At 34.8% G+C, this 12,441-nt stretch overlaps 1 protein-coding gene across 18 annotated transcripts in view; it reads right to left on the bottom strand.

Annotated features, from left to right (window-relative positions):
* Positions 1 to 12,441, bottom strand: part of NTNG1 (netrin G1) — a 344,836-nt gene that overhangs the window by 146,911 nt on the left and 185,484 nt on the right. The gene's annotated exons all lie outside the window — the stretch shown is intronic.

Below are 12,441 nucleotides of genomic sequence, written 5' to 3'. Positions count from 1 at the left end.
TCTGATATTAAATATCCTCCACTACTATTATTATATCTGCCCCTTAAGCTCCCTTGCTCTCTGTGCTTCACCGCTCCTCTACACAGAAAATGTTCTTTGATTAGTTAAGTTCTGGCCAAATTCTTTCTCTAAAACTTATTTTCTGTTGCTTCACATCCTATTTCCTCCAACTAGACTCCTCATTGTGAAGCCCCGTACAAACTTCGAAACCTGTTGAACATCTTCCTCCATCTCAAAACCAAGAATAACATTAAAAGTGGGAAAAGACTAGAAGATTTCATAAGGACAGAGAAGAAAGACACATGGATATATGTCAGAATTTCTGTGTTTTACTTTGCTGAGTCAAGGAGTATTGTTTGTGCAGTTATTTTTGTTGTTGTTGTTAAAATACACATAACACATAATTTACTATTTTAATTATTAATGTACAGTTTTGTGGCATTAAATATTTTCACATTGTTGTGCAACCATCATCATCATTCATCTCTGGAACTTTTTTATCTTCCCTAACTGAAACTTTGTGCTCATTACAAATGAATCTTCTTTTTCATCTGCCCCCAGCCCCTGGCAGTCACCATTATACTTTATTTCTATGAATTTGCTTACTCTAGGACACTCATATAAGTTGCATATCATGTAACATTTGTCCTTTTGTGACTGGCTTATTTCACTTAGCATAATGTCTTTAAGTTTCATCCATGTTGTAGCATGTGTCAAAATTTCTTTCCTTTTTGTGGCTAAATAAAATTCCACTGTATGTATATGCCACATTTTGGTTTTCCGCTGATCCATCGATGGATACTTGGGTGGCTTCCACCTTTGGCTGTTGCAAACCATGCTGCTATGAACAGGATGTACAAATATCTGTTCAAGCTTCCGCTTTAACTTCTTTTGGATATATACCCAGAATGGAATTCCTGGATCATATGGCAATTTTATGTTTAGTTTTTTGAGTAATCGCCACACTGTTTTCCACAGTGTCTGTACCATTTCATTAGTATAGCAAAAACCCTCCAATTTTTTCATGTCCTTTCCAACCATGTTATTTTATGTTTTTGAATAGTAATCATTCTGACGGGTGTGAAGTGGTATTTCATTGTGGTTTTGACTTGCATGTCCCTAATGACTAATGATCTTGAGCATCTTTGCCTATGTTTATTGACCATTTTTATATATCTTCTTTGGAGAAATGTTTATTTAAGTCCTTTGCTCATTTTTTAATTAGGATTATTTTGTTGTTGAATTGTAAGAGTAATTTATACATTCTGGATAAAAGTCCCTTATCAAATATATGATTTACAAATATTCCCACCCATTCTGTGGGTTGCTTTTTCACTTTGTTGACAGTGTCCTTTGATGCACAAAAGTTGTTAATTTTGATGACGTTCAACTTACCCATTTTTGCTTTTGTTGACTGTGCTTTTGATGTTATATCCAAGAAATTATTGCCAGATTTAATGTCATGAAGTTTTCTTCCTTTGTTTTTTTCTAAACATTTCATAGTTTTAGCTCTTACATTTAGGTCTTTAATGCATTTTGAATTAGTTTTTGTATATGGTGTAAGGTAAGGGTCCAACTTCCTTTTTTGGTTTGTTTTTCTTGCATGTGACTGTTCAGTTTTCCCAACATCATTTGTTGAAAAGACTGTCTTTTCCTCACTCGATGGTCTTGGCAACGTTGTTGAAAATTATTTGACCATACATGTGAGGGTTTATTTTGGGACTGTCTATTCTATTTCTTTGGTTCGTATGTCTATCTTTATGTCAGTACCACACAGTTTTGACTACTGTGACTTTGTAGTAAGTTTTGAAATTAAAAAAAAAAAAAGAACAACAACATAAAAACCCCAGTGACGCCACTAACTTTATTCTTCTTTTTCAATGTTATTTTGGCTATTTCCAGGTCCCTTAAAATTCTATATGAATTTTAGCATGAAGTTTTCTATTTCGGAAAATATCGTCAATGGGATTTTGATAGAGATTCTATTAAATCTGTACATAGCTTTGGGTAGTATTAACATCTTAGCAACATTGACTTCCAATCCATGAACATAGGATGTCTTCCCATTTATTTGTGTCTTCTTTAATTAGTTTCAGCACTGTTTTGCAGTTTTTAGTGTACAAGGCTTTTGGATCTTGGTTAAGTTTATTCTTAACCATTTTATTATTTTTACGCTATTGTAAATGGAATTGTTTTCTTAATTTCCTGTTGGACCTTCATTGTTAGTGTATAGAAGCACTGCTGATGTTTGTGTGTTGCTTTTGTATCCTGCAACTTTGCTGAATTTTAACTTAATTTTAAAAACTATTTTTTTCTGACGATACAATGAGTAAAATGAAAAAAAATAGAAAATCATAACTAATTAGATAAAAATTACTCACAATTCCACCACTATTAGCCAACTATATTTGTGTTGTCTCATTCTCTCTTTTTTCCTCCTTCTCATAATTAGCCTCACGCTATTAATATTTTTAATCCTATTTTGCCACTTAAGAGTATATAATGAACTTCAATTATTTTCATAAAGACATATGTTCATAAAAGTTTCAGCAGATACATGTATATAGTTGAGTTTGGCCACTGCCTGTTTCCATGTCTCCTCAGCTCAAACTCTTTGAAACCCCAGCTTTGAACCTATCAATATGTAAAGGCATCATTTACAAGTTGTAAGGTTTTTAAATAGCATTTTAAGTCCCTTTGGTTGGTAAACTCAAGAAGCAAACATCATTTGAAGACAACTTTGGGACGTGGATGTATAGTGATATTGCGATTTTACTAAATATTGCTTGAGAATGAGAGCAGTTCATTCCTTTTCATGGACTTCTCTTCATCCAGGAAAGGGATTAAGGATCACAATTTCTGATCTTAAAAGGACCAATCAAACAAATAATAAAAGAAATTGTGTGTATTTGAGTGGAGTGGTATTCATTTAACCCAAGTACATAGCTTACTCTGTTATCTGAAGTAGATATATTTTATTCTTTAAGTTTGGACTATTGGTTAAAGCCTGAAGCTTTGCGATCTGGTTGATTGGATGAAGTGACATAGCCAAAAACAATGGGCTAAGCTCCAATTCTCTTGCAGTCTTGTGTGGGGAATATTTAGAGGTGGCCATAGCATACCTAATGGGAAAACCGTCCTCAGAATGGTCCTCTACGTGATGCTTAGAAGGATATTCTGCAATCATTCTCTCATTCCATCAATAAATATTTATTGAACTTTTAATATGCGCCAGGCCTAGTTGTAGGCACGGGACGCAGATCAGTGAGTAAACTGAAAGTTCCCTCTGAGTCTAAATTCTAGTTATGCAACAGTGTCATCCTTGACTAATTCATTTAACCATTCTGTTTCACATCTGAAAAAGGAGTTAGATTAAATTATTTTTATGTTTTTTTTTTCAGTTCTAAAAGAAATGATTTTGCAATGCTATGACTCTATGTGGCGTACACCCTGTCTATACAAATCCAATACTGGAGTTAATGATGCTGTCTCCTTCCAACCTGCCAAATCTCTGACCTCTTAGACTTCCCCCACCCATCATCTCTTGGCCCACCCTTCCCCCATCTGTTCCCTGTTCCCAGCAGCACTGGAGTATCTATAATTACACATGGATGTCATCAATATGTTATAACAGCTTTGCTTCCCTGATATTCTGTTAGCACCAAATGAGTAAAAGCGGCCAGGACAAAAACACAATTCCTAGACAAGGTGATATCCTTAGCTATATACAATGTTCAGTTTTACTGGGCTCTGATTTGTTATTCATTAACAGTCCTAATTAGCAAAAGAAAGGCAAGATTCATTTAACTAAAATTAGCTTGTGGTTTCAAGAATATCCTCCAAAGCAAATGAAAAAAAAAGAATATATTAAATACTGGTTAATCTAATTTTTCTTTCAATACATGATTTTAGCTCATTGCTGTAATTAGAGTTTGAGGCACTTACATATGGGAGGAATAAAAATCCTTTAGCATCTCTATTTATCTACAAAATACACCAGATTGTACCACTTGGCATTTCATTTTTCACATCTTTGCTGACTCTTCCATCACAATTTCACTAGCCTAAAAACAAAACAAAAAAATCCCTATTTATTCCAATACAGTACTTAATTTCCTATAATTCTTAAAGAAGGATGCATAGTACTCCAAGGTTCAAAAAATAAGAGCGACAGTTAAAAAAAAAAAAAAAAAGAGATACTCTTCATTGAGGTTAGTCTTTCTCTACGACAGTCTCACTTTTTCACCCAAAGTAGCAGTAATATAGGAAGGATGATAACTAAAGTTGGAACTTGCTTTGAAAAATCAATCTGTTTTTAGCACTGCAAATAGTTTAAACACACACACACACACAAACACACACATGCACACACACACGATGTTTTCATGTATTTCCTTCAATCTTACAAAGAGTCCAACAATGTTGGAGCTTAAAGAGTTCTGCGAATACTAGTCGTTTATGGGTACTAATATATGTTTTTTGACTAAGTAAGTTCTAGAGGCTCTGTCTTCAATAAAATAGAAATGTTTCTTTACTGTAGGACACCTCAGGGTCTTTAATATATGAATATACATTGTGATTCTCATAGAAGGAAGTATTGTGAACACTTCCAAAATGTTTTTGACCATCATGGACTTTATTTGAAGAGTACATCCTGAGAAACAGTAAAATAGTATAAAAATCTCATTTTGTAGATGAGGAGACTCTGATTATGGTAACTGTGACCTATTCTGAGCTGACAAAGAATTATTAGCACAACCAGAGTGAGAATCTATTTCTCTTGACTCTTAGCCAATGTTTCCTTCTAAAATAAGGTAGATAATGATTTTAAAATCCTAATGACTTGTCCTCTATCCTCTCAATATATTTATAGCACAATATCAGTTGTCTTAGGTACCAGTCACAATGCAAGAGAGAGCCAGTGTAGTAACTACCCTACTTTTATAATCTTCTGGACCAGTAGGGTTTGTGAGGCTCCTGTTTCACATATTCAAAGCCTTTCCATCCATTTTTTTCAATGTTTTTCAAGGGGAGTTGAGAAACAAATTTATACACCAACATAAGTAATTTTTAAATTTTCCTTTCCCCTTTGCTATTGATTAACCTTGTTTAGATGTAGTTTTCCTACCTATAAAAGGGAGGTAGAAATAGTAACCATGAGTTTTTATGCAGTGCAGTCATTTCTGGTTAAACTAATATACTTAGTTCTAAAAGTGGCTTATTGAATTGAAAATATAGACCCATATTGCAACAGAATCAATATATCAATCCACACAATCAAATTACTGTGATAAAATTCATTTGTTCTTGTATTTATTTGGAGAATGAATGGAAATAGTCTCTTTACTGAACCATTGATCACATAGGTCTCAAAAAACTCTTGCACTAAGTATCAAACAATGGCCAACATCTCCTAACGTGTTAAGAAAAAACTCTGATCCTAGGTACAGAAAGACAGCAAGACATTCCAAAGATGCAGACCACAGATTTAGGATAAAAAACAGGGCTGCAGAAGCTGGTGTACTGCTGCCTCCCATTGTTTGGGCATGCAGATGTAGCTAGAATGTAGCTTCCCTTACAAATGCTAAGTTAAATGAGGGAAGAAATTATTTTATTTATCCATTTTGTGGTATTTTGCTTAAATATCCTTATGTTTCTTAAAAAAGAGACATCTTCCCTTTAACGACCCACTAGCTTAAAAAATCTATGGCACTAGGGAATTAAGGATAAAGAGACAAGCTCCTAAACCGGATTGTTTTTCTGCATGCTAATGAATTTCATAATTTAAATGGAGGAATTATTAGATACATTCTCTCCTTATAATAGTACAAACCTCAGAGGAAAATGAGCTGCTTATGCATATATTCTCTTTATAATTCAAGATTTTCTAATAGATTTTAAAAATATGCTCCAAATCAGAATGTCCCTCAGTTGTCCACTTACAATGGGTGCATACGATAAAGTCTTTATTCTAAATGTTTCCACTGGAGTTAAGTAGCAATGTTTTATGTTGGTTTTTAATTTTTAATTATGATTACCATGCTTTTCATTTGAATACTCTTATTTACTGGACTTCATTCTGCCTTTTAAAAGGAGAGTAAATTAAATTTTAGTGGAATGGTTTAATATCCATTTAGCTTGAAAAAAAGACCTGGTGGAGAGAATCATTGATTAAAAATTTATGAAATTTTATTATATGAAAGAGGCAGCACACTTATTCAAAATAGTTTCAGAAGAGAGAATGTGGACTTATATGTGGAAGTTAAAGGAAAAACATATTGCCCTCACTTGAAGTATGAACTTGCTTAAAATAAGCGAAGGTAGTTGGCTATTTCCAAGTTTATCCATTAAGATATATGACTTGTTTTAGTGTTTGATGATGCCCATTAGTTGAAAGCAGGTGTACATAATAAAAGTTTATGAAGAAATATGGGAGAAAAATTAACATTGAGAAAATACAGCTTATTTATTTATTTTTGTCTCCCCATGGAAAAATAAGAAGCTATCATCACAATTTGATTTTAGTAGTAAAACACCTAGACTTAACACAATGTGACAAATGAGCCCAATCACACATTTGAAAGTTGATAAAAATGAAGTAAGAAGTTAGAGTTCAGATAAACACAGAGCAGCCTGGTGTAATAAAATACTGAGCCAAAAGCCATGGAGAGTGTGACTCCCAGAACATTCTAAGAGGGGCAGAGTCATAAGATGTATTGATTCATTGTTGCTATTTAAAGATGGCTTCTCTGGGAATTTTTGGGGTCTTCTATATATACTGAGCTGATCTCTGGCTGGTGTGACTGTAAGAGCATAATGCTTGGAAAAAGCCTAAGGTTTGCCGTGAAAAACCTGATTTTACCACTTTGTTATGTGTGACGTTAAAGAAAAAGTCACGGCACTCCTCTGGTCCTCAGTTTTCTCCTCTGTAAAATGGGGTTAACCAACACCTGCCTCACAAGTGTCCTGTAAGTACTAAAGGAAATAAGGTACCTGACAAGAATTTTGTAAACTGAATGCTATACAAATTTAAAGGATTATTACTTAAATATGAGTGGGGACTATTAGAATGACATTAACTCATTCCCTTCTCTTTGAATTTTCTCAGATTATTTCTCAATTTCCTTCAGAAATTACCTTTTACATAGTAGTATTCCACAGGATTCTGTAAATGTTCTATAATGGTCATTTATACCTATGAACAAAAAAATCCTCAATGTCATCGATTCTCAAAGAGTCCACCATAACACATAAGGTAATAATTCTCAAACCTATATTTGAGCTCAAATCTCTCTCTACAACACTAGACAAGTATTTTCAAATCCCTAACTAGAATCTCTACTTGAATTTCTACTACTTGAAATGGCACAACAAAATAACTAGCTAAATCATGAATTAACTAAAAGCCTGTTTCAGTATTTATTCCCCATTTTAGTTTTGGCCCCACCATCCAATTCACTAGGAAGTCTTCCCCAAAATCTGACTGGTCAACAAGTCCTACTGACTTTGTAAGCAAATCTGAGACCACTGCCATATGATGGCTCCTGTGGAATATGGAGAGCTTTTCTGGATTCTCCACTTGAGCATCAGGGCTTGGAGCTATAGTTGCTCCACAATTAAGCAATGTTATAGCTTTCCAGTCTGCACAGTTACACCAGAATAGCCTTTACTACAATTGCCTTAAAAACTGTTCCTCACTTGTAGTCAATTAATACGGAGACTCCATAAGATTTTGGGTTTCTTATGGCATGGGAGAATCAGAGAGAAAGAGGTAGGAATCCTTCAGAGCTTCCTGAACATGCTGAAGACCCATAAAGGGAAGATGGTAGAACATCTTCAGGACTCTTAACTCCATCAATTCTTTACTGCTTGGAGTTCCTTAACATGCTGTGCTGTTTTTAGGTATAATTTGTCTGCCTAGGATATCCATTCTTTCCTGGCTGCTTGGCACAATAAAACCCATATTTCAAGACATCATACATGTCACATCTTTATCAAAGGTTTTACTAATCTTTCCAGATTACATTAGTAGCTTCTCTGCTACCACAGCACTTTGAATATTCACACAGTAAAATCACTTAACCCACATTATCATCATTTTTTTTTTGTCGTTGTTGTTTATAAAGTCTGTGTCCCTTCTGGATATCAGCTCCTTAAGAGCAGAGACTATGCTTGGTGCATCTTCGTCTGTCTACCATCAAAGCCAGCATCTGTCCCAGAGTAGAGGATAAGTATTTATGGATGACAGAAAGGAAGAAGGTGTTATAAAAAGCAGAATCTGTTAAGTGGCAGTAAAGCCCAACCTCAATAATTGAGACTAATTGGAAAAGAATAGATAAAGGCCAGGCTCAATGCTTTAAAAGCATTTTTGTGGGATGTCTCTTACAAAAGAGGTAAAAAGTAAATATTTCAGATTTATTTCAGTTGTGGCTAGGAAAAAGACTTAGGGAACCTTCAGAATAACTGATTTTTCCAGAAATTTAAAAAGTGCTCTACTGCTTTTATACTTTTGAATTTCCCCAAGTGTTCTTGCTTGCCTGACATCACATCTTTCGCACTAACCATGTGGAAGTTGTGCTTCAAGAACACGATGTCAGCTCCACCTTGTTCTAATTACAGCAAATATAAAGGCAGTGACATTCAAAGAATAAGGTTTACACATAGAAGCTGGACTCCTGAGAGTGACGTAGGGGGCCTGCCTCACTCCTGGCACCTAGTCATAGTGGCTCTGGTCCTGGCCCTTTGCAGGTCCTGGGATTAGGCAGGGAGAGTGTGATTCTGAGCAGGGGCAGCCATGAAGTGAAGATGGCACCAAAAAGTTTTGTCGAAGTGAAACTTCTGTGCTAATATTCCAAGGCTTCTTTCTTGGAGGTAAACAATGGAGGTAGAAAAAGGAAAAAATACTGTTCACTATTATGGCAGTCAACTACCTATAATGGAGCCTGAGTAGGCACTGCAAGGGATAAGAAATGTGTAATGACCATTGAGAAAAAATGACCGATAATTACCTTCAGGAATATTTTGTTAAAGGGTAAATACTGAAGATGTTGATGGGAGTTTTCCAGTCCACTTTCTTCAAGTTCTTACTGTTAAAATAGAATTTCCATTGTCTTATGGCTAAAATCAGTACCTTGATATATGGCTGATAGCATATCTTAAAAATAAATGAGTAGATTACTAAAGATTCATTTGTCTTTCAGATTTATAAATTATTACATTAAATCACATTATTTCTTTGAAATTGTTTACCTCAAAGAAATAATAAATAATTTTTAGTTTATATTTCATAAAATCTATGCAGCTGACAAATACAGTGCTCGCTTTTTCAATTATTTTAATTGTGGAAAGCTTGCAAAGAAACAAAATACTTAAAAATCAAAGCTTCCAATGGTGTAAATAAGAAAACATTTTGGACATTATCTATATTTAACAGCTTTTGAGTTTAACCCCCTGTCTGTATAAAAAGATGTTCAGAACAAACATTTACTTCTAATTTCTCCTCTTGCCCCTCATCTGAGTAGATTTTATTTATGCATTAGATGACCTTTTTGGCCATTAGAACCATCTTGCTTCAGCAGTTAATTAACATAAGTACCATAATTTAATACAGTTAATGCTACTTGATGCCCTTTAATGTACCTTCCATTAGTGATATTATTGTAGTATTACCCTGTAAATTAAAATGAGATCAAGACTAAGAGAGCCGCTCTTTAATTAAGGTACTGGCACACTGCACTCGTCTGTTATTCACTGGAGAAAATCACCGTGATTTACTGAAGCAGGACATCCATAAGTCAGAATTAGTCCATGTAGATTATTAAGTTTATTGAACAATGTAAGTACTACGGAGCTGCTGAAATTGCCAACAGCCATGTTTCCTCTTTTTCCTTCATTATCTTAATAAATACGCAATGAGAGGGAGTAAATGGAAGCAAAATAAGTATGTGGCAAAAGAAGAATAAATTTTTTATGATGAGATTACACTTTTTTCTTACTAGTAAAATAGGTATCAGATGTATCACATTCCAAAAAGAACATAAATGCTACATTAGTCTAATGTCAATCAAAACACTATTTTTCCATTAAAAAACACTAGCCAGTATAAAACAAACATATGCACAAAGAAACGGAGAATTGGATCTCACAAGCTCAGTCATCTTAAGCAAAGATCAACTGTCTCACAGTTTAAGATTTCAAGGTAAAAAAATTTTGAATTCTCTGTCCACTATACTATAGATGTTTACATCTGGTCTCCATTCTACTTTTCCAAAATAACTTATGTCAATTTCCACATTATGGTGGGGTGGGGATAGAAGTAACAAGTAGAAAAATATCATTATCATGATCAGATATAGACATGTAAAGGCATGTTAAATGTTGCAATCATTTCATGGGATGGTGGGGGCGGGTGCAAGGAACAAGAACTTCAGTTGTATTTTGAAAAGTGTACATTTATGAGAGCCTTGAAAGGGAAACTTTAGAACTTTCTTTTAGAGATTATCAATTAATATTTAATCCTTCTATAGATGATTTGTTATATAACAGAAAGACAATCTAGACCATTAATCTTACTGAAACTTTCAAGAGTAAAATAATTAGATCAGCTTCTATGCTGAAAGGCCCCTGAACCAGACTATAGCTCAACATTTCCTTTCACTGGCTCCATCATCAGCAGATCTTCATTATATAACTTAAAAGCTGGAGACACGCCCGAGCCATCAGACCTTGCTTCTTTAGTCCCTCCCCTAAGACTAAAAATACTCCAGCCATCTGGTGCCTAGTGCAGTACATGCCAGCATCAGTTCTGCCCTGAGGATTTGGACAAAGTCTGGAGGTGACAGAAGAAGACCTTATGGAAGGGGCTCACCTCTACTGGACCTTTCTCATTTGCCCAGCTGCTTCTCTTCAGCTTACAGTTGACTAGTGAACAGGAAAAGACAGTGGAGCTGAGTCCAGAGAAGGAGGGAGGAGCCCTCCAAACTCCTCAGAACCACTGAAATGCAGTTGGAGGAAATGACTAGTCTGGGAGATGGGAGAAATGTGATAGATATGAAGGAATCTACATTTCCAACACACCACCTTTAGGAGATGGCATGCTTGACATCAGTGGAGAATGCAGAAAAATGCCTTTAGCTTTCAAGTTTATTTTACACTTTCTTTTAAATTATTAGAGGAAACAAAATGAATACTAATAACAAAAATAAGCATCAGCAATAGGTTTTTCCCAACCAAAATGCTTCAGAAGATTGCCTTATTTACAAGTGGCAAATAAAGGTATATGGGGAGGTGGAGCAATAGGAATTTGGGCTCAGATTAAGTATTTTTTAAACTGCAAGGAAATTGACCTAGATGAATCTACCGAGCAATGTAGATTACACTAGGATTAAAATCCACATCTTAGTTTGTTAATTTTTTACCATTATTCATGTAGATGAATTGAATATTTGCTACTTCATTGTGGCAAGCTATCATTAATAATAACAATATCAACTATTTTCATATATCATACTTCCCCAAGAATAAGATCCTGGAAACTAATAGTCTTTTGCTAAAATGTTCATAAGTATAATGGCTGTGTATTACTATAAATAGCAAACTTATGTTTAAGACAACAGCTCCTGTATTGCCCTGTCATGTACTCTGCTAATAATACATGAATTATCCTCTACAGCTTAGAACTCACAAGTTCAACATCATACTGCTTTAAAGATATATTCGTTATATACCACCAAGATCTTGGTCAAAATTTTAGGAAAAGCTTCGCAGATAAAGGCTTTTGATTCTTCCATGAGGAACATGAAGCTAGAAAAAGCTGAGAGTAGATGGCCACCAGTTTCTACTGCTTTTCCACAGCTAAGACTCTGAAACCTTTGACACCACACTATGATCAAGCCCACCACTCCATTCTGCGTTCCCACTATGGTCTTTACCTTAACAGCAGTGACCTTTCTCCCAGCACACATAGGTAAGGCAAATCTCTAACAGACCAGAAAGTTTCAACACTTCTCCAGTTTCTGAGAACTGGGCTGCCTAAAGGATGTTGGCAGCCAATAAATTGAATCAATCCTGCCTTATCTGTTTGAATTTTATCATTAAATAATGAAACCTACATGATATATACTATTTATATGCTTATCCTCATATGTTTCAATTTAAAGATATCTTGGCCTTTTTACTGGGGTGTTATTTCTTTGCTTGCCTTTCCCTTTGCTAGATACTCTGCTCTTACCTTTACTTTTCCCACTCATTATCTCATGCTTCCACTCCCATCAGGTGGTCGTTTTGATAATATACCACACTTAAAAAGCTGGTTGAAAATCCCTATGTGGTGGTTCTGGTTCTCATTATTGAAGTTTTTCATTTAAACATCTTCAAAATTCTTGGAAATTTGCTCAATTCTGTCTCTAGTATATTATCAAAACCAAAGCTATCCCTGACTGT

Source organism: Homo sapiens, chromosome 1, assembly GCF_000001405.40.
Source record: "Homo sapiens chromosome 1, GRCh38.p14 Primary Assembly".
NCBI lineage: Eukaryota > Metazoa > Chordata > Mammalia > Primates > Hominidae > Homo > Homo sapiens.
Note: the sequence above shows the minus strand (reverse complement) of the source record. Positions and strands in the feature narration are given on the sequence as shown.